Source organism: Homo sapiens, chromosome 12 (assembly GCF_000001405.40).
Source record: "Homo sapiens chromosome 12, GRCh38.p14 Primary Assembly".
In the NCBI taxonomy this organism is placed as follows: domain Eukaryota; kingdom Metazoa; phylum Chordata; class Mammalia; order Primates; family Hominidae; genus Homo; species Homo sapiens.
This window is the reverse complement of record NC_000012.12, coordinates 4,365,225-4,392,158: the sequence shown is the minus strand read 5'-3', so window position 1 is coordinate 4,392,158 and position 26,934 is coordinate 4,365,225. Positions and strand designations below refer to the sequence as shown.

At 43.5% G+C, this 26,934-nt stretch overlaps 1 protein-coding gene across 1 annotated transcript, besides 1 other annotated feature; it reads left to right on the top strand.

The window, feature by feature from the left end:
* Positions 3,782-4,076: a silencer, noted in NCBI's record as "tiled region #12719; HepG2 Repressive non-DNase unmatched - State 22:ReprW, and K562 Repressive DNase matched - State 7:EnhWF". NCBI's record gives its function as "represses a minimal TATA promoter and a strong SV40 promoter by Sharpr-MPRA in HepG2 and K562 cells {active_cell/tissue: HepG2 | K562}" and the evidence as "EXISTENCE:reporter gene assay evidence [ECO:0000049][PMID:27701403]".
* Positions 12,447-23,932, top strand: FGF23 (fibroblast growth factor 23). Its single transcript, NM_020638.3, has 3 exons — positions 12,447-12,787; positions 19,462-19,565; positions 21,376-23,932. The coding sequence occupies exons 1-3, from the start codon at positions 12,577-12,579 to the stop codon at positions 21,814-21,816; spliced, it is 756 nt and encodes a 251-aa protein (NP_065689.1). The 5' UTR covers positions 12,447-12,576; the 3' UTR covers positions 21,817-23,932.

The following is a 26,934-nucleotide window of genomic DNA, read 5'->3' as shown; positions in this document are numbered from 1 at the left end:
CCATTGTTCCTTCCTTGGGCAGAATCCCAGCCTTGGAAGCATGGCTGCCTTCCCTCTGGTTTGGGATCAAGGAATTGAGTGGGCTCACAGGAGTAGACAGCAGCCTGGCTGAGCCCTGCAGGCAGAAGAACCAAAGGCTCTAACCATTGCTCCTTCGTCCCCCGCCCAGAAAAGAAATATCAAATCTCGCCCTGAATAGAACTTGTTCCCCATGTACCAAGTTCCCCTCCCTCCCCCAGTCCCTGCCCTTGGCCCGCCACGTGCCCATCCTGGTGGCTTCAGTCCTGAAGATACGTTCTTGGAAACAGGGACATTCATAGAAGAGGGCTGTGGGGTCACTGACAAAGATCTGAATTCAGAGTAAGAAAACCTGGATTTGACTCTCAGTTCTGCCACATACTAGGTGTGTGCTCTTTGGCAAGTCACAGATTGTTCCTCAGTTTCTTCAAATGAAAGATGAGGATTCTTCATATCTCATGGGGTTTGGGGAAGATAGAATAAAAGAACGCCTGTGAGAATGCTCTGTGAAAAGTGTACGGTTAGGAAAGTTATTTGCAAATGTAAGGGATGTCACTACACACGACTTACGGCGCAGGATCTAGTCCCGGCTTCAATGACAGGTCATCTTGGGCATGTGACTTAAACATGTCATGTTATGATACTGCCCCAGCCTGCGTCATGGGGTTATACGTAGCCCAGAGTGGGTCTGCAAAAGCACTTTGTCACTGTGGTTGTTATTATACCTGTAGCTAGTGTGTGGACCTTGGTTCAACAGCTTTTCAATCTTTTCACACCATGGCCCACACAGAAAATGAGAATGTTTTGGCCGAGCACAGTGGCTCACGCCTGTAATCCCAGCACTTTGGGAAGCCAAGGCGGGTGGATCACGAGGTCAGGAGATCAAGACCATCCTGGCTAACACGGTGAAACCCTGTCCCTACTAAAACTACAAAAAATTACCTGGGAGTGGTGGCGGGCGCCTGTAGTCCCAGCTACTTGGGAGGCTGAGGCAGGAGAATGGCGTGAACCCGGGAGGCGGAGCTTGCAGTGAGCCGAGATTGCGCCACTGCACTCCAGCCTGGGCGACAGAGCGAGACTCCGTCTCAAAAAAAAAGAGAGTATTTTTAGGGCACAGAGGCCACTCCTGACTCCAGAGGCGATCCATCAGCCCAGATTCCAGCAACTGCAGACTCAGAGAGTCACTGCCTGTGTGCATCTCTTACCCCCGTGGTGGCTTCCAGAACATACAGTTCAGGAAGCTCTACCTTAGAATTAAAAATAATAGTAATTCCCTCCTACCCCCAGAAAAAGTGAGATTAGTTTGAGGATAGTGGAGGTGTCTAGAAACTGTTGGAATGCCTCAACCAAGACACAAATTCTTAGACATCTGTAAAGAAAGCCATATATATATTTTTTAACTCTAGAAGCTCGATTTCTGGGTCTAGAGATGATAATGCTGAGGCAATGGTTAGTGCAGCCATGATGGGAGGCTGAGGCACACAGGTTTCAGAGCTGGATCTGCCTGAAGGAACACCTCTGCTAGTTGAATCCCTGTATTCAACAAAGGCCAGAAACGAGACCTACAGAGGGGAGGGTGAAGGCAGCTTCCAAGACTCGTGGCTCAGCTCCTGCCACTCCATGATGTGAGTTAGTATGGGAAAGACCAGGGCTGGAGACAAAACAATTGTGCAAGAAATGATTCCAAAACCTTCCTTGTAGGCACTAAAAGGAGTTCATACCCCTAAGATGAGGGCCATGAAGTTATGGGAAGTCAAGCTTCACTGCTCCCTGGGCAGTGCTAGGACTAAGGAGGGCAGGAGGGGTCTGTGTGCAAAGGGCTCCTCCAATGCCAAAGTGTGGCTTCCATGATCTTCACAGCACGCATATTCCAGGTGGCACAGATGAGGGGTGAGATGCCTGTATGGGGCAGATGAAAAGTCACCTGCTAGTCCTGAGGCAGGCTCAGAGCCCAGGTGGCTGATTCCCTTCCAGTGAGTGTGTTCAAATGAATTACTGCAGTGAGGGGTGCTGGAAGGGCATCTGTGCTCAGGGTCAGAAACCTGATTCTAATTCTAAGCTCTGCCCTCAACTTGGCCGTGTAACCTTGGGCAAATCACTCTGGAGACCTCAGTTTTCTTCTTGTATTAGATCACTACAAAAGTTGCAGTTTTTGCCATTACTTTTTTTTTTTTTTTTTTTTTTTGAGACAGAGTGTTGCTCTGTCGCCCAGGCTGGAGTGCAGTGGCCTGATGTCAGCTCACTGCAACCTCCTCCTCCCAGGTTCAAGCAATTCTCATGCCTCAGCCTTCTGAGTCACTGGGGCTACAGGCACCCGCCACCACGCCTGGCTAATTTTTGTATTTTGGGTAGAGACAGGGTTTCGCCATGTTGGCCAGGCTGGTCTCAAACATCTGATCTCAAGTGATCTACCCGCCTCGGCCTCCCAAAGTGCTGGGATTACAGGTGTGAGGCACTGCACCCTTTTAATTAATTAATTTTATTTAATTAAAAGTAATGGGAGAATTAAAAATAATTAATTAAAAGTAATGGCAAAAACCGCAATTACTTTTGCACCGACCTCATAAAAACAGGCAAGGATGATGATCGCCAGGGTTCCCAATGTCCAACTCTCAGATTCTGTTTTCATGGCTCATACAAAGAGGAGGATGGGGAGAAGAGACTCCAGGGTCACTCCGGTTTGGGTGCATTGGTAGGAAAGGAAGGAGAAGAAACAGAGGGAGGGGATACAAGTCTCCCAAGTTCAGAAAACTGGTGGGGTTCTGATTTGAAAAGGCCCAAAGAGGAGACATGTGGGGGGGCCCTGGGTGGGGACAGCGAGGCTGGGGCTCTTGGTTCCTCCAGTAAGCACCATAAATGCCCTAGTCTTGCCAGCCAAAAGGAGCTGTGGCTTCACAATGACTTGTAGGAAGAACAGCTTGGGGGGAAGTGCCTGTCCAAGTGGACTATTTCTATGAGACAACCATTATAAAAATATTTTGAAAAGCTAAAAAGCACCATTCTAATATAAAGTGAAAATACATTTTTCTTGGAGGGTAAAGAGTGATGGAGACAAAGAAAGGAGAGTTAAGGAGACTCCTGGAAGTAAGAATATTTGTAGGGTTTCAGGAGGGAGGAAACAAATGAACAAATCTTCCACTGAGAAACCTTCCTTCAAAGCTGTCCCCCTCTTCCCTGGCTTAGCTCTAAGTAGAACAGTCATAACCCTGTTCTTATCACCCAAAGTGAACCTTTTGTAAAATCACTCACACAGGCTTGGCCTCCCCCACCCGTGGGACACATGTCTTATCTCCCACAGGCTGTAGCAGTGGAGGCCAGGAGAGGGTTTCCAGGAAAAAGAGTGTGTTGGCGGAAAAGAGGAGGGGGTGAGGGGGTGAGGGGTTGAGAGGGAAGGAAAAGGGAGTTGAGGCTGCAGCTATTGATCAATGGCCTGGACTTCAATGGCCTTTGCTCTCAAGTTCTGCTATAACCTTCAGTTTTCTAGGATTCCCCAGCTGAGGGCACCTGAGGTGCTTTAACCTCTTTTTGTCCTGGCAAAATGAGCTTCTGGTTATGGGCACCAAAGTTGAGAGAGCAAGACCATGGATTTCATAATATTACAGAAGCCATGTGTATTTCCTATAGGGAAGTAGGGTGAAGGTTCTACTTACATATTTAGATTTGCTATTGAGGAAATCTGTTGCGCTATTATAGGTACCTGTAATGTTACATTATAAAAATATATAATCTAATAATATATATTAGATTAAAGGAATATGCCTTCCTTAAGTTTATCCCTAATCCAGTGTGGACATTTTAAGCAAAGCAGAGAGAGAGAAACAAATCTCCCAGCAGGGAATGTAAACACTTCCAGTCATCATGGACAAGGTGGGTAACTCCCGTGTAGATGATCAAGTGTAGCAGGTGATAAAGCAAACAGTTTGGGGAAGCTGGATGATGAGACAGCATCCTACCTCCAGACTGCAGCAGCTGAGAGGAGCTTCACAGATGATTTCATCCACATGTCCCACCTCCCCAATTCAAAGCTGGGAGAGCAAGTGCAAGAGGGAGTCACTTGCCTAAGGCTGCATATACAGATCTAAAAAAAAAAAACTTTTTGCCATTACTTTTAATGACTTATTTTTAATTTTTCCATTAGTTTTAATTATATAAAATCAATTAATTAAAAGGGTGCGGTGGCACACACCTGTAATCCCAGCACTCTGGGAGGCTGAGGCGGGTAGATCATGTGGAGGAGCTAACCCACGTGACATGGATGGGTGAGAAATTTTCTTTTGTCTTGTTTTAAAGGACTGAAAGGTAACTGGCTGTGCACAGTGAAATATATGCTGTTTCAGCACATCTCACGGATCTGATCCTGGAATGAATAATTCCAGGCAGCGATGAAATGTTGAACACCTATTGATCAAACACCATTTTGCTCATTTTGCTCACCATTTTGCTGAATTTTGCTCTCATTTTTTTGATAGACTTTATTTTTCAGAGCAGTTACTGGTTTACAGAAAAGGTAAGCATTGGGAGATATACCTAATGCTAGATGACGAGTTAGTGGGTGCAGCGCACCAGCATGGCACATGTATACATATGTAACTAACCTGCACAATGTGCACATGTACCCTAAAACTTAAAGTATAATAATAAAAAATAAATAAATAAATAAAATAAAAAAAAGATAAATAAAATACAAAAAAAAAAAAAGAAAAGTTAAGCAGAAAGTGTGAGGTCCCATATATTCCTTCTCCCTACTCTGCACACAATTTCCCCTATTAACATCTTGCATCAGTGTGGTGCATTTGTTATCACTGATGAAACACTATTGAAGCATTATTATTAACTAACGTCCACCGTTTGCATTAGGGTCTACTCTTTGTGTCGTACAGTTCTACGGGTTTTGACAAATGCATAGTGCCATGTACCCACAGCATCGTACAGAAGCGTGCCACTGCTCCAAACATCCCTGTGCCCCAGTCCTTGACTTTGTGTGCCCTCCCTGTGCTCAGTTCTCCTGTTGTGCAGCTGTCTCAGGCAGTGGACGAAGTGACAACTAACTACCCATGAATGACAGCCTATAGTGTATCAGCTGTATTCAGCTACAGCCCCTAACATCTTACAGGGCCACACTCACTGTGCACAGCACTTGCCAGTGATGCTCTTGCCTGTAATTATGTCATTGGCTAACGTAATTAGCTCCTGGCTGGCTTCTCTCATCTGCACCTGCTGTTGATTAGCCCTTTGGTTTCTCTGTTTCTGCTGGTTTCCAGGCATTCCCCCCAACTTTTTTTTCAACTTTTATTTTAGAATCGGGGGTTCGTGTGCAAGTTTGTTACAAGGTCATATTATGTGATGCTGAGGTCTGGGGAATGATTAAACCCATCACCCACGTAGTGAGCATAGTACTCAATAGGTAGTTTTTCAGGCCTTTCCTCCCTCCTACCCTCCCCTACTAGTAGTTCCCAGTGTCTGTTGTTCCCATCTCTATGTCCATGCATACCCAATGTCTAGCTCCCACTTATAAGTGAGAACATGTGGTCTTTGGTTTTCTGTTTCTGCATTAGTTTGCTTAGGATAATGGCCTCCAGCTGCATCCATGATGCTGCAACGGACATGAATTCATTCTTTTTTATGCAGCCATTCTTTTTGCATGGTTTTTGCATCAGTTTCTTTTCAGTTACCCTCTCTCTTCTAATGTTCTTCAGAATTCTGATACTCAGCATAGCTGTTTTATACTTTTGAACGACTTTAAACTTCTAAATAAATAAACACTCAGATATGCATATTTAAATACCCTCAAACATTTCCTATTCTTATAAAAACTTTATGCTCTGTATTAAGTTCAAAATAGGTTGCAAATTTTATATTACACGTTTGAAAATCGTAGCTTATTTTCCAAAGGCTTCGGTAAATAGCACTTCTATGCCCATCCTTGTCACCTTGTCATCAGCAGTCATTACCAGCTATCAGTGGCCATATTTATAAATTAACAAGTGTGGTCTTTATGAGATCACTGCAAGTGTGGAGATTTATTGGCCATAGTGGCAGAAGTGAAAACTATCACAGCTGAACCGTGGAGAAGCACCGCTACATCTTCTGTGGATTCAAACCCCTTTCCAAGCCTTGATGTCCCCCCGCTGCTGGAATTCCAGGCTTCCTTGCCCATTGGAGAAGGCTGCCCTGAAGACAAGCCCTCCCGTGGGCCTTTATTTTGGAAAGGCTGCCATGACAAAAATAAGCTGGAAATTTTGTCTTGGGGAGGAGAAATTGAACATGTCATTTGGAGGGAAAGAAGGGAACTGGAGACTGATTCTATGGGAGGTATTGGTTCTAGACTAAAAGGGGGTAAGTTCTTGATGTGGCAGAGAACTGCGGTAACCCCAGCCACCAGTGCCATCCCATGCAGGGCCATTATTATATGTATATGTGTGTATGTATCTGTTTATATGTATGTATGCACATGTATATAATGGGTGTGTATGTGTATATACACATACATGTAAACATAAAGTCCTGTGGCCTTGGGAACCACCACAAAAGCCTCTGGGGCAGAGCTTGGAAGGAAATGAAGCTTTCAGAAGAGCTGACCACTTTCAAATACAATGGAATGGAATAATTTAAAAGAATGAGGTAAAGATATGCATACTGACCTGGAAAGGTGGTCAAAATAGACTTCAGCGGACAAAGTGGGTATATATTATATACGGTATGCCCTCAATTTTGTCTTTTAAAAGTGCGTATTTTTCTGGCTGATAGATGCAAAATTTTTTTTAAATTTTAAAATAAAAGTGCATATTTAAATATATATACTTATATATAATATACACTTTAGTATTAATATATAATGTTAAATATGTACCTATTTAGAAATACATAAATATAAATATATACATATTTTATTAAATATTTATTAATACATTATATATTTTATTAACATGTATTATTGGCAATATATTAATGTATTTTATTATATTAAATATAATATATATTTTATATATATGCCCTAAAGCTATAATTTGTCTTTGATAACATTTTACCTCTAGAGGTTACAAACTATATTGTATATTCACTTTCTACTTCATACATTTCTGCATTGATCTACTTTTTAATAAAAACAGATTTTTTAAAGTCATGTTTTTTTTCTCTCTTTTCTTTAAATTCCTACGATAACAGAATGTGTGTATCAGGAGCCAGGATGCTCTTGGGAAAGTCGTCCCCGACACCCCCCAGACCTGCCCATAGGACTGTTTTGAGCCTCAGAAGAGACAATAGATATGAGTGTACTTTATGGGCTGTGAAGTGCTAGACAAATACAAAGAATATTCTGCCTAGTAGATTGCAAATTCCCTGAAGATCAGGACTGTACCTTTTCATTCTCAGACTTCTCTAAAGATTTTCTACAAGGTAGTAGCCATATAACAGGCTTTCCATAAAAAGTTATGTGTTGATTGCTTGGATGCATTAAAGCAAGAGAGAATCAGATTGGCTATAGGGAAGCACATTTTTGCTGTCAAGATGACACTGGGATGACATTTTCAGATGAGATACAGGAATGGCACCTCTCCAGAGAACTTCAAGAAGCCAAAAAAAAAAAATTTTTGTTCTAGATGGCTTAGATATCCATCTCCCTGAACGCTGGAGGTCTGGACGACATGTAATGCTCTGAGAAAGCAAGAGGGCAGGGACACCGTTACTGAAATGGTGGAGACAGACTCAGGAGGAGTGAAGGGACAGGGAGCAGAGGCCTGCCAGGTCCTTCCAGGATCTCAAAAAGAAAAGAAGGCTGCAAGCCACCGTGAGATCACCTTCTCTCCTATCTCCCAGCTTTTTTTTTTACCTTGATTCCTCTGACATTTTTTCATCATAGCTAAGGACAATGAAGTTGATGTTATTGTTTGAAAATTATTGCCCAGTCTTTACTTTGAGTGAACATGATCTGGGTGAGAATCTTCTTCAGTACCTTCTCAGAGCAGATGCTGATAAAAAGAAGTCAGGAGATGAAGGAAAGTAATGAACTTGCAGGAATACTTTTTTTTTTTTTTTTGACAGGGTCTTATTCTGTCACCCAGGATGGAGTGCAGTGGTGCAATCTCAGCTCACTGCAACCTCTGCCTCCCAGGTTCGAGCAATTCTCCTGCCTCAGCCTCTCGAGCAGCACGCTCGAGAGGCACGCACTCATGCTCGGCTAATTTTTGTATTTTTGTAGAGACAGGGTTTCACCATGTTGCCCAGGCTGATCTCAAATTCCTGACCTCAGGTGATCTGCCCGCCTCAGCCTCCCAAAGTGCTGGGATTACAGGCATGAGCCACTGCGCCCAGCCGGAATACAGATTCTTATAGGCCCTTATCTATACTAAGAGCCTTGATTCTATGAGCGTAAATGCAGGGACTAGACTTGATGCTTCCACACAGCTCCCGGGGCAAATTCTCTTAATGCCAGAGAAGTGGGTTCCAAACCAGGCTGGAGACAACAGGTTTCCCTGCCTGCCATGGGACCAGCCTATCTGCTGCATTCAGGTAGCTACCTGGGAACCAAGGACAGTGACGTCCAAACAGCACAAACCCAGGGCCTCCTCCCTGGGCTTCCTGTTCACAGCTGGTATCTATCTGTGTTTCTCTTTGGGCTCCTAAGGTCACACTGGTTCCCAGACCCTTGGACCTGAACTGTGACGGAGGAGTGCCCTCTAGGTGCAAAGGACAGGAACCGACATGTCCTGGCCTCTCCCTTCTCTTACCCACTGAAGCTTCAGAGGAGACCATGCACTGGACTCAAGGACAGGGTACTTGTCAGCACGAGGTACTGATTTAGCATTCAGTACTAAATTCCCTAGAAAGGCCCATTTACATCTTGACCTGCAGTTAGGATGGACATCCTAGAAGGGAACGGAAAGTTGAGCCTGCCACTGAAGAGGGCCTTAGTCTCTGTGTACTATTTCCAGTGCTTGATGTGTGGTTGGCGCTCAAAGCCTGTTTATTGATAAGTACTTTAGTATCAGCCACATCTGGTGTGGAGAATTAGAATCTCCCAGGTGGCTTTGAATAAAGTACAAATAACTGACTTTTGCCCCTGCAGATTCAGTAGGTCTAAGATTAGTCCTGGGGCAATTATGGCTTTAAAGCTCCACAGGTAATTCCAGTGAGCAGCCAGATTTGGAAGCCACTGGTAGGGAGTTCAGCCTGGAGCTGGACATTCTGCTGTCTCCGTGTTCCAATGGGCAAATCTTCATCTCCGCTCTCAGTGTTTCCCTATCTCAAATGGGGAGAATTAATCTGAGATTCTTGCGCCTTCCTTTACTCTCTCTAAGTGGGAAATGCTGCTTCTCCTCCCATCCTCCTTAAAAATAAGTCTACTCCTCTGGGCTGGACTCTGCCATTAGAGCCAGATGCTAAGCACACAGGGCTTCTTCTTGGAGGGGAGGCTTTGGACCTGGGTAAGCTGGCACAGGGCTCTCTTTCCTAATAAGACAAGCTGAGGTGGCCACGGAGGAGCCCCTTCCCCAGTCGCTCCAGGAGCTAGGGGAATGACCGAATGGCTGTGGACTTATCCCAAGACACCTGTGCTCCCTCTCCATCATGCTTGGCAGGTGCTGGGGAAAACCCTTCTCTGTGTATCCTACAAAGCTCCCTCAGTTCTCTCCTTCCCTCAAAGCCCTCCTTGACCACAGCATCTACCCACCATGACCTTTTTTTTTTTTTTTTTTGGTGACAGATCCTCGCCCTGTCATCCAGGCTGGAGTGCAGTGGTGCAATCTCAACTCACTGCAATCTCCACCTCCCAGTTCAAGTGATTCTCCTGCCTCAGCCTCCCAGGTAGCTGAGATTACACAATACGCCCAGCTAATTTTTTTGTATTTTTAATAGAGACAGGGTTTCTACTAAACGGGGTTTAGACAGGGTTTCACCGTGTTGGCCAGGCTGGTCTCGAACTCCTGACCTCAAGTGATCTGCCCACCTCGGCCCCCCAAAGTGCTGGGATTACAGGCATGAACCACCACGCCTGGTCAACATTTCTTTTTTGTGAAGGAGCTTGGTAAAAAAGTGCAGGCAGCAAAGCACTCCTCCATGATTCTCTCGGAAACCCAGGTCTTTACCCGGGGTGAATCTCTAGGGTACATAGTGCTTGTCTCCCCAGGGTTGTTTGGAAGATGTATGACATTAAATGTTTATGTATAAAGCAGGCTTCTTTAGTAATGGCCACAGAATGGTTTATAAATATAGTACCACATCTTCACTAATTTGCTCCTAGTAATGAAGCTCCTCCCACACAGTGCCTTGTATTGAACGAAGATGTTCCCTGCTCAGTTACACTGGGAGCCCCTAGAGGAGTTAGTCCTGCTTTGTAGTCCTACACCCTCCCTTTCATCTCTTACATGGAGAAGGTTCTCAATGGCTGCTGATTGCCTTATAATTACTTCCCATCTCTTTACCTTTCACAACCAGAATAAGAAATGCAGGGCAAATGTTCCTAAGTGATTTGCATCTCAATTCTGAAAGCTAGCTATTTCTTCAATTAGCTAAGACGTAGCATTATATTTATAATCCATTCTGTGGCTATTAGTAAAGAAGACTGTTTTACATATAAACATTTCATGTCATACTTCTTCCACTCAACCCTGGGGAGACAAGCACCATGTGTCCTAGAGATTCATCCTGGGTAAAAGCCTGGGTTTTTAGAGAATAACAGAGGACTGCTTTGCCACCTGCACTTTTTTACCAAGCTCCTGGCTCTCATGGCTTTAGCTCTAACATGTTGTATGGGTTTGGACACCTTGAAAAGTGCTTAGGAGGTCTTGGGGCCAGACCTGGATTCAAATCCAACCTCTTCCACATGTTACCTTTCTATCTCTAGGCAAGTTACTTAAACTGTGTGCATAGATCAGTTTCCTGATCTATATAAAGAAAATAACAGCATCTCCTCAAAGAGTTATTCTGAAGATGAAATGGGTTACTACAAGTAAAGCACTTAGAGCAGTAAGTGGAACAGTAAGCTCTCCATGAGCGTTAGTTCTTGCTGTGATTCTTTGGAGAAGCAGCCTAGGGAAGGAGAAGACCTTGTCCTGGCTCTACCATTTATTTGCTTTGTGCCTTTGGACATGGAAACACTAAGATTTCCATTTCTTCATGTAAAGTATTAAAATCTTGATAATGCATGGAGTGCCTATCTCACAGAGTGGCAGTGAGGTTCAAATAAGCTAATAGATGTGAAAATGCTTTGTAAACTATAAAAAAAAACTGTACAAATGTAGGGTAACAAATGCCATCTCTTTCTGTCTATACCTGTAAGCTTGCACTCATTTTGTATTATAGTTACTTATTTTTATCTGCCTCCTGCATTAGATTTGAGCTCCTCAAGATAGGAATCACATCTTGCTGTCTCCTATATCAACCTGTACATGAGTCTAGCTTGATGCCTGTACATGGCATATACTCAGTACAGGGAAACTGGAAGAATAGCAAACTCCTTGTGTGTTTTTTCGGGTGTGTGTTCCAGTAGCTTGCTCCCCTTTAGACTGTATGTGCCAGGACTATTCCACCCGACATCAGGTGTAGCTTCCCAGAGGGCTCACTGTGAACAGCATCTGCAGGCAGGCATCCAACACCAAGCTGAGCACTCATGTACAGACACTAAATGTGGGGACACCCTGTCCTGAGGCTCGGATCCCCAGTGCTCAGCCAGCAGCTGTTCCAATCCCCATGAGGTCTCTGAATGAGTCTCCTTACTACTGGAGAGACTACTAGTTTAGTTGCCCTCGATAGTCCAAACTAGGGAAATTGAGAAATTGAACCTTGGCATATTCAGTGAAGTCCAGACTAAGGAAGCTGAGAAACTGAACCTTGGCATGTTCACTGACCTCAAGGCCTTACTTCTTTTTCTTCCATTTCAAAATCTTCCCAAAATGGCAACTTTGGCTTTTGTGCCCCTGCTCCTAGCTCCCATCTTTCATGAAGTGGGTGTTCTTAGAGGATGCCATCTGCCTGATGGTGTCATGTATCTCTATATCCTGCAAGCTACCCACCAAATCCTGCTCACAGATTAAGCACTGGATACATACTTGCTGATTGGAATTTAAAGAAAACCAAAATAAGTAAACTCGACAGGAGATTAATTGCCTAGGAGTCGGTTGACTGCTTGACTGAAGCTGGATTTTTTTTGGGAACCGCTGGCTGCCTTCACATTTCCTGATGGAAGTGGGACAGGTCAACAGACAGCCCAGAGTGGCAGATAACTTTTGCCCACACGTCATTCATTTTTTGGAGCGTTGGCTTGAAATTGAGGGGTGTGTGTGTCTGGAACCGACGTGCCTTCCGTGCGCCTCCGGGGTCTTTGCACTTTCTTTCAATGGGCTGATTACAACACAGAGGATGTGGACAGTGGAGTTTTTCCTGTTTGATGTCACACTGCTACCCTTTAAAAGTCTGACGGCAAAAAGGAGGGAATCCAGTCTAGGATCCTCACACCAGCTACTTGCAAGGGAGAAGGAAAAGGCCAGTAAGGCCTGGGCCAGGAGAGTCCCGACAGGAGTGTCAGGTTTCAATCTCAGCACCAGCCACTCAGAGCAGGGCACGATGTTGGGGGCCCGCCTCAGGCTCTGGGTCTGTGCCTTGTGCAGCGTCTGCAGCATGAGCGTCCTCAGAGCCTATCCCAATGCCTCCCCACTGCTCGGCTCCAGCTGGGGTGGCCTGATCCACCTGTACACAGCCACAGCCAGGAACAGCTACCACCTGCAGATCCACAAGAATGGCCATGTGGATGGCGCACCCCATCAGACCATCTACAGTGAGTAGGGCTTCAGGCTGGGAAGAAGGGGAGCACCCTTGTTGTCCATCTACAGGAGGCTTGGGGAGGTTGGGGACTAGACTGGAGGGCTAATCCAACCCTCCTAGCTTTCTGCCCAGGAACCACTTATTGTCTTTGTGTGTGTGTGTGTTTGTGTGTGTGTGTGTGTGCGTGTGTATTTAAAACTTAGGGGAAGATTCTGTCACTCTCCTAATTAGCATTTGCTGGTTTTTCTCAATATGAATAATTTTTATTTCAACTAAAACCCTTCCCACAGTAGGAGCCATGTTCCCTTTGCCCCGTCAAAAGATTGAAAAAATGTACAGAAAGAAAGGCAAGGAGTCTAAGAGAAAAAGAAGCCAGGCAGATCAACAGACACTAAGTTTCAGCTCATGGACTTTGGACTGGGTTAACTAGGGAGGTTGTAAAGATTCCTGGGTCATACCCAGATTGTTATAGATAAATCTGGGGGCTCTTTCCAACTCTGGCCTTATAAAAATTCTTGGAAAAATGTATTAAAGACAGACTGTCCATGTATGTTGTCTTGGTGAGAATGGCCAAGTATACAACCCATCCACCCATTCATTTGTCCATGCATCCATCCATCCATCCATCCATCCATCCATCCATCCATCCATCCATCCATCCAACAGGTTTAATGGGTGTTTCAGACACCCAGGTACCCAGGTACCCAGTATGAGTTGGTGATTCTTCTCTGTGGAACTGAAAGGTGTCCAGTCAGTAGCAAGTCAAGCTAGTTAGAAACTTATTGGCAACATGAGACAACTGGAATGTTTTTAAAGATCAGGTTTGTGGAGAATTGGATCACAATCCACAATAATCAATCCATTAGCAATGATTCAAATGAGGGTCCCTTTGTGTGCACCTATATAAGGGGTAATGTGGTGAAAGCAGGGATAGATATTGAAAAAGACTGGATCTTCTATTTTAAGAAAACGTGAGAAAACACCTCAAAGCATACAGAAAAATGCAAACTGATCCAATATAGCTCAAATTAAAGGAAAGAAAAATTAGTTAGACAATCTCTAACTAAAGAAAACATAGGAATTATGATTTGCCCTTTATTGTTGTAATAAATAAATTAATTATTTTTGCTGTGACCTTGCTGTGTGTGAGGCATTTATTCTTCTAGGCTCCAAAGGTCCTTAAACCTGGTTGCAAGATATACAACATGCAAAATTAAGTTGCAAGATATATAACATGCGAAATTGACAGTTTAACCTCTTCAAGTACTAAATGCATATTGACAGGAGATAAAAGGAGAGAGGAAAGTTCTCTCCGAATACCAAACAGGTTCCAGAACTCCAGAGAATATAGTAAGACTCAGGAGTCAACATCTTGGAAACCAAGTTTGAGTCTCATGGCAAAAATTTCAATTAAATCTGGATACACTTGATGCACCCGAAGTGTTGTTCATTTTATTCAATGGATATTTAATAGGATCTACCATGTGCCTGGCATTCTACCAAGCGCTGTGGCTGAAAACTAAGACACAACCCTTCAAGGACCTCATGGTCTGTCGTCCTACCTTGTCAGCCAGCTCACTACCAGACTTTCAGGAAATGCAATTTTGCATGTCTCATGGAGGGGACACCCTTACTCTAATTCAAGACTATATGTGGGCCAGGTGTGGTGGCTCACGCCTGTAATCCCAGCACTCTGGGAGGCCGAGGCAGGCAGATCACGAGGTCAGGAGATTGAGACCATCCTGGCTAACACAGTGAAACCCCATCTCTACTAAAAATACAAAAAATTAGCCAGGCGTGGTGGCAGGCGCCTGTAGTCCCAGCTACTTGGGAGGCTGAGGCAGGAGAATGGCGTGAACCCGGGAGGCAGAGCTTGCAGTGAGCCGAGATTGCGCCACTGCACTCCAGCCTGGGTGACAGAGCGAGACTCCATCTCAAAAAAAAAAAAAAAAAAAAAAAAAAGACTATATGTGATTTAAAATGCAGAATAGTAGATTATGGTAAATTATTTTGATTCTCTTAGATGGAAAGGGCTGCATCCAACTAGAGAATGTTTATACAACTTGTCTCGAATCCTGGAATCCCGTTGCTGAAAGGAACTCCTTAAAGACGTTTCTTCCTGAACAAGAATTAGGGTAGAACAGAACAGGCCGGCTACGGTGGGGAGTGAGTGTGAAGAGTCAACCTCCTGGGCTGGCAGTCTGAACTTAGACCTTTTCCTTGAAAGCCCACCTCGTATCAGGCCCCAAGGGATCACTGAGTGCTAGTTAGAGTGAATTAAAATGACTGAGAAGCAGCAAAATAAATTGAACTGACTTCAGATTTTTAAAAATAGAAATGTGATTTTGTTTCCTTAGACATAGGCACTAGCTAAACATTGCATCTTTAAAGAGTTAAACATGAATGCGGGGAGGGGAACTTCGGGTCAGGGTAGTGGGAGGGAGATCTACTTTTCCTAGTCTATGTAGATAACTTTTTGTACTGTTCAATGAGTTGTCATGTGTATTATGGGAAAAAAAAAGTGCAGGAAAAAATTACACACTACAATTAAAAGTTACCCAAAAGAGGCCAGATGCGGTGGCTCACGCGTATAATCTCAGCACTTTGGGAGGCCGAGGTGGGAGGATCACTTGAAGTCAGGGGTTCGAGACCAGTCTGGCCAACATGGGGAAACCCTGTCTCTACTAAAAATACAAAAATTAGTGGGGTGTGGTGCCTGCCTGTAGTCACAGCTACTTGGGAGGCTGAGGCAGAAGAATCGCTTGTACCCCAGAGGTGGAGCTTGCAGTGAGCTGAGATCGCACCACTGTGCTCCAGCCTGGGTGACAGAGTGAGACTCCGTCTCAAAAAAAAAACGTTACCCAAAAGAAAGAGGAAAGATTAATGCATGTAGATAAGAAGCACAACTAATTAAATGTCTGGTGAAGGATTTGTAATGACCTCATCAGTGACTGTTAAGCAATGTTTTTACACTGATGGAAACCTAAAATGTGAGGGGTATTTTTTCCCCTCCTAATTATCCATTTCTATTGAATTCTGGTTTATCTTATTACTTTGCTGTAAGAAATTCTTAAGAGTTGAGTGCACAACCCATCTTTGGGTCACTGGACTTGACAAAATGAAGTTATCTCCTGCCTACCAGATTCTTCAAGCTCCCTTAGGACTCACAAGCGCTGCTGCCAGGTACCCCTCTGGTGTCCTTATCACCCGTTCCATGAACAAGGCCATCCTCTGACTCCCCTTTATCCTTATTATATGGAAACAGCAAGAGAGAGATGCTTATTGTCCCTGGTAATATCATTTCCTAGATCCTGCTATTTTCACTTCCTCCATCTTCCCCATAGGAACTATCTTTATTGAAGCTGAATTACCGCTGAGCTCCTTCAGCCTTTTTCATACGTTTTTCTTTTGAGGTGCTCAAAGCACTTCACTGCTATCATCTTATTTATCACTTACTGGCCACAAGAGTAGAATGGAGTAGATAATTTTCTACTTCTATAAGCAGAGGTTGAAGCAAAGTGGTAATAGTAAAAATTACTAGCACTTAGGAAGTGCTTTCTAAAGGATAAAAACATTATCTCATTATGTCTTCAAGATGACCAAATGAGGTAAATGTTTCTGCTGTCCTCATTTTATATGTGAAAAAACAAGAGTTAAAGAACTTAAATAACTGGCTGAAGGTCAGACAGGTAGTAAAAGACCTAGAGGACACCTTGACCCCAAATCCCAAGCTGTTCCAAGGTCACACGCACGGAGACACCTCCGTCATTGAAGGCAAAGTCCATTAAGCCTGCTCAGCTCCAACAGGCGGGGCTGGTTGCTCCGGCAGTCCATGGTTTGTTCCTTCCTTCTGCAAAATTCTCCCTTGAATCTGTGCAGACTGCGAAAAGATGCCTTTTGAAAGCACAAAGGAAAGAAACTCTGACTCTCTCACATTTTCTAAACTTTCACATTGGCTCACACTGTTTGATGGAAGAGTCTGTGTGCCCTCCGTAGCAGCTTCTCACAGTTCCTCAACCACCGCCGGATGTTTTCTAGGGGGACTGGCTCTGGAAACCAGGAGCGTGTGTGCCATACACACTGCCCACACTGACCCCAAGCATCAAGCCAGCACACCTGTCAAGGCATGGGCCCGGCATAAACAGCAGGTCAGAACACGCCACGTGATGTCCTCTGTTTGCTCGACACTTTCGAGTCACTTTTACCACCATTATCCCCTTCGATCATCACCCTATGAAGTAGGCAGGACAGCCATTGTTCTATTTCACAGCTGAGGAAACTGAGGCTAGTGCAAGGTCAGCAAGTGGCACAATTGGGACCAAAATCCAAGTCCCCTGGTTCTTGGCACCTGGCTCAGTGCCCCTTCCCCGAGCCCTTAGTGCTGCTGTGACTCCTTGTCCTCACTGCCTGCAGCATGTATTTTAGCATTTGATATTGTCTTCTCAGACTCTTAGTGATTTCTGCTGGAGGCTTGTTACCGGGTGGTGGGAAGATGTCTCTGACCTGAGTTTCAATCCTGTCTTAGTTTCCTTATCACTTAAATTAGGATATTGCTGCTACTACTACTACTAATAATAATAATAATCAGTACTAACAATATAAAATTTGTTTTGAGAATTTAAAATATGTAAAGTGCTTAGAGTGCAACCGCTCAAAGACCATTACTAAATGTAATTTTTTCCCAATTAGACTGAAAAGTCACCAGAACAGAAACCATTTCTTTTTTTTTTTTTTTGAGACGGAGTCTCGCTCTGTCGCCCAGGCTGGAGTGCAGTGGTGCAATCTCGGCTTACTGCTAGCTCCGCCTCCCAGGTTCATGCCATTCTCCTGCCTCAGCCTCCCGAGTAGCTGGGACTACAGGTGCCCACCAACACACCTGGCTAATTTTTTTTGTATTTTAGTAGAGAAGAGGTTTCACCGTGTTAGCCAGGATGGTCTTGATCTCCTGACCTCATGATCCACCCGCCTCAGCCTCCCAGAGTGCTGGGATTACAGGCATGAGCCACCGCACCCAGTCGAAACCATTTCTTACACGTTCCTTATATTTCTCCAAAGGTTTACCACAAAACTAGCCATACATTTGAGACACATAGGCAGACACCACTGTGGAGGAATTTAAGCATCCTTTGCGCCTGTCATACCCCAGTCCACTTTCTGGGAAGCTTTCCTCAAGGTTCCCCTCAGCCAAACTTTGAAACAAATTAACTTCTCTCTTTGGCCCTCTTCCTTTCTCACCTTTCTGGGGCTTGTCTCCACCCTCATTCCCTCTGTTCCGCGTCAGTCCAATTTCAGTCCCTATCATGATTTCTACTCAGCTAGTACCTAATTATTGCTGCTTATTTTCCTCAAAGGTCCTTGTATTGAGCCTGCATGGGATAGGAGAAGAGCTTTGGCCTTTAAATCACCCCCACAAGGCTCCATCACTTGCTAGGCACAAACATTGGGCATTTACAACCTCTCCAAGCTACAGTTGCAGAAGAGGAATTAGAATCCCTGCATGGGATTCTAGCTGCCTCCCTGGAGGCTATGAGGTCAGATGAGATGCACCTAGAAATTCTGTGATAGGCAACTGGAAGTAGCCCCAAAGACCTAAAGTAATGATTTTTAACAGAAAATGTCAGGTAATTAAATAACATGTGGGGAAGAAATCTCGCTGAATTATCACGCATGTTACACCAGTATATGATCTAATTGTGCCTTTGCCACAAAACAGTAATTTAAAGCCATTATCAATTACTTAAGAGGTAGGTCGTGTGAATGGGTTTCAGGCCCTTGTCGGAGACTAGTTTTTGAGAGGGGACACTGAAAGTCCATGAGGGGCTGCACCTGGAGAGGTCACCACCAAGTGAGAAAATGACAAAGAACCAACCCAAGAAGAGCCAAGAAGAAAATTCCATCCGTCACTTATATTGATTCAACATAAACAGTTATACCCTCTGCTCCTAAGCAGCTCACTCTAAGGAACGCACTGGATAGGTAAACTCAGCTAAAGCAAGTTAAATGGAATACATGCTGTAATAGAGGTGAAGGCATTGTCCTGAGGAGCTGAGAAGGAAGAACAACTGATTTTGAATGGAAAGATGAGGAAAGTCTTCATAGAGATGGTGACGCCTGAGCCTGGTCTTGAAGAGTGAGTGACTTCAATAAGTAGAGAAGGAAGAGGGAGATCAACTCTACTACCATTCTGTACACATACTGGGTGTTGACTGATGTATTAGACAATTACACAGACATCCAGGAGGAGAATCAGACTCTATGGCAAGCTGGATCCTTGAAAGACATCTCAGCATAGATTTAAAAATCACAAAGTAGAAGGCATGGAAGAATGTGACTATCACCACAAACATTCAAAGGTATTAGTAAGGCAAAAGGGAAAATAAAGACGGTCCAGGTAGAGAGAGAGAAACATGTGTTCAGCACAGGTAGAAGAATTCCAGGAGCTCAGAGTGCCCCATACAGGCAACAAGATGAAGCAGGAGGTGAATGACTGTATGTGTGTTGGGGGCAAGAGAGGATGTCAGAAGAAACGCTGAATATGCAGAAATGAGGCTGAATTTAAGAGTGCTGAAGTTATCACCACCCTTAAAATCAATCCAGGGAGGTTTCATGAAGGTAGGTTTTCAGGAGGTGCTTGAAGGTGGGAATTGGATGGCAATGAGTCTTTGCCCTGCCTGTTTTTCTCCATAGGTGCCCTGATGATCAGATCAGAGGATGCTGGCTTTGTGGTGATTACAGGTGTGATGAGCAGAAGATACCTCTGCATGGATTTCAGAGGCAACATTTTTGGATCAGTGAGTTTCTTTTTTGTGTTGGTCACCATTTGCAAACAATTAACCTAATTTCTTTGACACGACATAGACTTTTCTAGCTTAACAATTCCATTTGCAGTGTACCCTGGTGACCTGTTTCCACTGATACTTCATGCAGTCTAAGTATGAATTAAACGTGAATGCTCACGTTTAATAGCTGGGGTTTGAACTCAGGCAATCTGGCTCCAGATCCCAGGCTCTCAGCCCCTAGTCTGCACTGCCCATTGGAACCCACTTTTTTTTTTTATTATTATACTTTAAGTTTTAGGGTACATGTGCACATTGTGCAGGTTAGTTACATACGTATACATGTGCCATGCTGGTGTGCTGCACCCACTAACTCATCATCTAGCATTAGGTATATCTCCCAATGCTATCCCTCCCCCCTCCCCCCACCCCACAACAGTCCCCAGAGTGTGATGTTCCCCTTCCTGTGTCCATGTGATCTCATTGTTCAATTCCCACCTACGAGTGAGAATATGCGGTGTTTGGTTTTTTGTTCTTGCGATAGTTTACTGAGAATGATGGTTTCCAATTTCATCCATGTCCCTACAAAGGACATGAACTCATCATTTTTTATGGCTGCATAGTATTCCATGGTGTATATGTGCCACATTTTCTTAATCCAGTCTATCATTGTTGGACATTTGGGTTGTGGAACCCACTTTTGAATCTAGCACAGGCCCTGGTATGTAGTCGTAGGTCCTCAAGTCATGTCAATTCACGTTGTAAAGTACATTAGAAAGGGTGAAAAGCCATTGGTGTCTTCTTGATTCTGGGACTAGCTGTGACTTTGGGTAAATCTCCTCACTTCTCCAAACTTCAGCATTTTCACTTGGAAAAAGCGAAGTGGAATAGACCACGTGACCTGTGGAGCTCCCTCCAGTTAAAGATTTTTAATTAATAACCCCTGCCCCAATTGTGATAGCTATTCATTCGGATTGGTAAGCAAAGGATTTCCCAAACTAAAGGCTGCTGGCCTCTTTTGGAGGATTTTGAGATAGTAAAATAGTAGGACTGCTTATCTCAGGAGTCTCTGACCACCACACATGCCCACTAGAAACTCCACAAGAACAGAGACTTTCTGTTTTGCTTTCTGCTGCATCCCAGCCCCTACAATAGTGTCTGGCTAGAGTAGGTAAACAAACAAACAAAAAATCTGTTGAACCACTATTGAAATATAGATAACTAACTAAACATCCGTTAACCCCTCTAGGCATGTAGATAGTCCTGATCTGTAAACTGCTTACTTTGTGGAGCTTGAGGATTAAAAGAAATAACAGGCAAAGGCCTTCGTGGGGCACTCAGTAAAACCCAGTACTAGTGGTAGAGGATTCAAACCCAGCTCATCTGTCAGCAAAGTTCATGTCTCCAATCCCGTCAGTGCTCTCATTCATGTTTGACCCTATAAACTCCATCCCCTCTCCTTTCTCCAGTAAAGAGACAAACCCAAGCCAATTTTCAGCCAGCAGAGGCTTGGAAAAGATAGAGGGCAGGAAGGACAAGGTGGTGCCTACTCCAGGAAAACCACAGGCCAGGCCAGCCCGGGCCTCCAGGCAGTAAGCGGAGGCCCCAGTAGTCGTAGTCTCTGAAAGGGCGAACTATATAGTCAGGGCTTGAGCATTAATCAAAACCACTCTACCCCAGCAGGGAACAAAGGGGTGAAGGCTCAACGCCCTAAGAACTGCAGAGCTTCAGGCCGGCTGGCACAAGCATGTGGCCCCAGGAGGAGCTGGGGAGTGGGTGGGGCCCCCACTGCCAGCCTTCACGTGGTTCGCTCTTGTCCTTCCAGCACTATTTCGACCCGGAGAACTGCAGGTTCCAACACCAGACGCTGGAAAACGGGTACGACGTCTACCACTCTCCTCAGTATCACTTCCTGGTCAGTCTGGGCCGGGCGAAGAGAGCCTTCCTGCCAGGCATGAACCCACCCCCGTACTCCCAGTTCCTGTCCCGGAGGAACGAGATCCCCCTAATTCACTTCAACACCCCCATACCACGGCGGCACACCCGGAGCGCCGAGGACGACTCGGAGCGGGACCCCCTGAACGTGCTGAAGCCCCGGGCCCGGATGACCCCGGCCCCGGCCTCCTGTTCACAGGAGCTCCCGAGCGCCGAGGACAACAGCCCGATGGCCAGTGACCCATTAGGGGTGGTCAGGGGCGGTCGAGTGAACACGCACGCTGGGGGAACGGGCCCGGAAGGCTGCCGCCCCTTCGCCAAGTTCATCTAGGGTCGCTGGAAGGGCACCCTCTTTAACCCATCCCTCAGCAAACGCAGCTCTTCCCAAGGACCAGGTCCCTTGACGTTCCGAGGATGGGAAAGGTGACAGGGGCATGTATGGAATTTGCTGCTTCTCTGGGGTCCCTTCCACAGGAGGTCCTGTGAGAACCAACCTTTGAGGCCCAAGTCATGGGGTTTCACCGCCTTCCTCACTCCATATAGAACACCTTTCCCAATAGGAAACCCCAACAGGTAAACTAGAAATTTCCCCTTCATGAAGGTAGAGAGAAGGGGTCTCTCCCAACATATTTCTCTTCCTTGTGCCTCTCCTCTTTATCACTTTTAAGCATAAAAAAAAAAAAAAAAAAAAAAAAAAAAAAAAGCAGTGGGTTCCTGAGCTCAAGACTTTGAAGGTGTAGGGAAGAGGAAATCGGAGATCCCAGAAGCTTCTCCACTGCCCTATGCATTTATGTTAGATGCCCCGATCCCACTGGCATTTGAGTGTGCAAACCTTGACATTAACAGCTGAATGGGGCAAGTTGATGAAAACACTACTTTCAAGCCTTCGTTCTTCCTTGAGCATCTCTGGGGAAGAGCTGTCAAAAGACTGGTGGTAGGCTGGTGAAAACTTGACAGCTAGACTTGATGCTTGCTGAAATGAGGCAGGAATCATAATAGAAAACTCAGCCTCCCTACAGGGTGAGCACCTTCTGTCTCGCTGTCTCCCTCTGTGCAGCCACAGCCAGAGGGCCCAGAATGGCCCCACTCTGTTCCCAAGCAGTTCATGATACAGCCTCACCTTTTGGCCCCATCTCTGGTTTTTGAAAATTTGGTCTAAGGAATAAATAGCTTTTACACTGGCTCACGAAAATCTGCCCTGCTAGAATTTGCTTTTCAAAATGGAAATAAATTCCAACTCTCCTAAGAGGCATTTAATTAAGGCTCTACTTCCAGGTTGAGTAGGAATCCATTCTGAACAAACTACAAAAATGTGACTGGGAAGGGGGCTTTGAGAGACTGGGACTGCTCTGGGTTAGGTTTTCTGTGGACTGAAAAATCGTGTCCTTTTCTCTAAATGAAGTGGCATCAAGGACTCAGGGGGAAAGAAATCAGGGGACATGTTATAGAAGTTATGAAAAGACAACCACATGGTCAGGCTCTTGTCTGTGGTCTCTAGGGCTCTGCAGCAGCAGTGGCTCTTCGATTAGTTAAAACTCTCCTAGGCTGACACATCTGGGTCTCAATCCCCTTGGAAATTCTTGGTGCATTAAATGAAGCCTTACCCCATTACTGCGGTTCTTCCTGTAAGGGGGCTCCATTTTCCTCCCTCTCTTTAAATGACCACCTAAAGGACAGTATATTAACAAGCAAAGTCGATTCAACAACAGCTTCTTCCCAGTCACTTTTTTTTTTCTCACTGCCATCACATACTAACCTTATACTTTGATCTATTCTTTTTGGTTATGAGAGAAATGTTGGGCAACTGTTTTTACCTGATGGTTTTAAGCTGAACTTGAAGGACTGGTTCCTATTCTGAAACAGTAAAACTATGTATAATAGTATATAGCCATGCATGGCAAATATTTTAATATTTCTGTTTTCATTTCCTGTTGGAAATATTATCCTGCATAATAGCTATTGGAGGCTCCTCAGTGAAAGATCCCAAAAGGATTTTGGTGGAAAACTAGTTGTAATCTCACAAACTCAACACTACCATCAGGGGTTTTCTTTATGGCAAAGCCAAAATAGCTCCTACAATTTCTTATATCCCTCGTCATGTGGCAGTATTTATTTATTTATTTGGAAGTTTGCCTATCCTTCTATATTTATAGATATTTATAAAAATGTAACCCCTTTTTCCTTTCTTCTGTTTAAAATAAAAATAAAATTTATCTCAGCTTCTGTTAGCTTATCCTCTTTGTAGTACTACTTAAAAGCATGTCGGAATATAAGAATAAAAAGGATTATGGGAGGGGAACATTAGGGAAATCCAGAGAAGGCAAAATTGAAAAAAAGATTTTAGAATTTTAAAATTTTCAAAGATTTCTTCCATTCATAAGGAGACTCAATGATTTTAATTGATCTAGACAGAATTATTTAAGTTTTATCAATATTGGATTTCTGGTCATTCTAACCCTAAAGTGTTTTCTTTCTTTCTTTCTTTCTTTTTTTTTTTTTTAAGATGGAGTCTTGCTCTGTCACCCAGGCTGGAGTGCAGTGGCGCGATCTCGGCTCACTGCAACCTCTGCCTCCCAGGTTCAAGCGATTCTCCTGCCTCAGCCTTCCAAGTAGCTGGGATTACAGGCACCTGCCACTGCGCCTGGCTAATTTTTGTAATTTTAGTAGAGACAGGGTTTCACCATCTTGGCCAGGCTGGTCTCGAACTCCTGACCTCGTGATCCACCCACCTCAGACTCCCAAAGTGCTGGGATTACAGGCATGAGCCACCGCACCCAGCCGTGTTTTCTTTAAAGAGGGAATTTTTATTTGGAAAATACACACCATCACAACCACGTCAGTATCTCAGTAAACCAAATGCTATGCACTAAACACATACACAGTGTTACCGTCCCGTGAGATTTGATAGCAGGACACCAAGATAATGAATCTACATTCTGAGACTGGTGTTCCCAGAGTTCCTTCTTTCAGAAGGAACTATGAAAAGGAGAGACTTTACATATGGGCATGAGCATTCACTACAGGTCCTTCGCCAAAGACTGGGTAGCACATGCACGAGGTAAGATACGGTGAGTCCTACAAAGGTCACCTGCTACAGCAGCAGGAGATAGATAGTGAGTGATACCAGATGCTATGCAATGTTGAAACACGTTAGAAATTCAACCACACCTGGGTGAAGAGACCTTACTGAGTGCCTCAGAACTCAAAAGGCTGTTCTTATAAGACTAAGCCCCAGAGGCAGGGGGTATATCCTAAAACTAAATTCAAAACTGAAACAGACTTGCTCTAAGTGAGAATTATACCAATCCTGGCAAACTACAAGGATCTACCAATAATGTAACTGACCGCCAGAAGAGAACTTAACACCTTTTAAAGGAAGAGGACATGATTCAGACTTAATACATGGTATCCTACACAATCAGTAATAGTAAAATAACTGGACATGAGAAGAAATAGGAAAAAAACATGTGCACAATCAAGAGAAAATGCAGTCACTAGAAACTAGTAAGGTGATCTAAAGATAGAGCTAATATAAATTATCTTATCTGAGTAACAGAGAAGAAATAAGTTTTTTGAAAATGAGTAGAACCTCAATGATCTGTGAGACCTTATTAAGCTGTCCAACATATGAGTAAGTTGAGTCCCAGAAGGAAAGGAGCACAAAGAACTGGGGAGTAAAAAATATTTGAAGATATGGTGGCTGAAAATTTCCCAATTATTGGTTAAAAATAAGTGTACTAATACAAGAAGCTCAGAAAACTCCAAGCAAGACAAATGCAAAGATCACAGTTATGTATATTGCAGTCAAACTGTTAAAAATCAAAAATCAACAGAAAATCTGAAAGCTACTGTAGACAAATGACACTTTATATATAGAGGAACAGCTATAATAGTAGTGGATTTCTTCTCATAACCATGGAAACTAGAAGACAATGGAATGATGTATTGAAAAGGTTGAAAGAAAATAAAAAGCTACCTACCCAGAATTACACATACAGCAAAAATGTCCTTCAAAATTAAGATGGAATAAAAATGGAGAGAAATTATTGCCATGCTGAAAAGGAGTAACACCAGATGGACATTTAGAATTACAGAAAGAAAACCATCATTAAATGTGTGAATACATTTAAACTATATATATTGTATACCTTCTTCCCTGATTTCACTAACAGGCTGCTTAAGGCAAAAATTATAACACTGTATGCAGGTTTTGTAACATATATAGATGTAATATATAAGGCAAAACTCCCACATAGGATGGGAGGGATAAATGAAACAATATGGTTACAAGATGATAACACTGTATGTAAAAATCTTACAATATTAACTCTAGACTGTGATAAATTAAGGATGCATATTGTAATCCCCAAAGTGACCACTAAAATACTCACAATAAGAAGTCAGGAGTGGTGATATGCACCTGTAGTCATAGCTACTCAGGAGGCTGAGGCTGGAGAATCACTTGAGCCTGGGAAGCGGAGGTTGCAGTGAGCTATGATCGTGCCACTGCACTTCAACTTGGTGACAGAGTCAGACCCTGTCTCTAAAAACAAAACATTTAAAAATAATAATAATTCAAAGAGGTGTAGGTAAAAAGCCAATAGAGATATTAACATAGGATACTAAAAAAATTCAGTTATTCCAAGGAAGGGAAGAAAGGAGGAGCAGGAGAATAAAAATCAAATGGGACAAACAGAAAAATGATAGACTAAACCAAATTATATTAATAATTACATTAAATATAAATGGGCCAAACACTATAACTAAAGACAGGAGTGGTCAAATTGGATTTAAAAAACACCCAACTATTTGTTTTGTACAAAACACATACTTAAAGAAAAGAATGGAAAGATACACAGTGAAGACATTCAATATAAAAAATATGAACTTACTATATTAATATCATAGAGAATAGGCTTCAAGTGAAGGAATACCGCATAAATAGAGGAACAATTCATAATAATAAAAGGGCTAATTCATCAGGAAGACGTAAAAATCCTAATGGCTCATGTCCCTAAAAACAAAGCAATAAAATACATGAAGAAAACTGACAAAACTGAAAAAATAGACAAGTTCAAATCTTAGTTAGAAATGGGAACACCCCTCTCTCAGTAACTGATTAAACAAATACACAAAAAATTAGTAAGGATACAGATATCTGGACATCATTAACTAACTTCATTTAGTTGACATGTGTAGACCACTAAATCCAGCAACTACAGAATACATTCTCTTTCTGAGTACAAATTAAACATCCATCAAAACAGATCATATGCTTGGCTGAGAAGTCTCAATTAACTAAAAATTTCAAAATCTTACAGAATATTCTCTCCTACCATTTAATTGGAAATCACCAAGCTATTTGAAAAAAATCCTCAAATATTTTGAATCAAATAGCACATTTATAAATAATACATGAATCAAAGAGCAAATCAAAAATAGAAAGTAC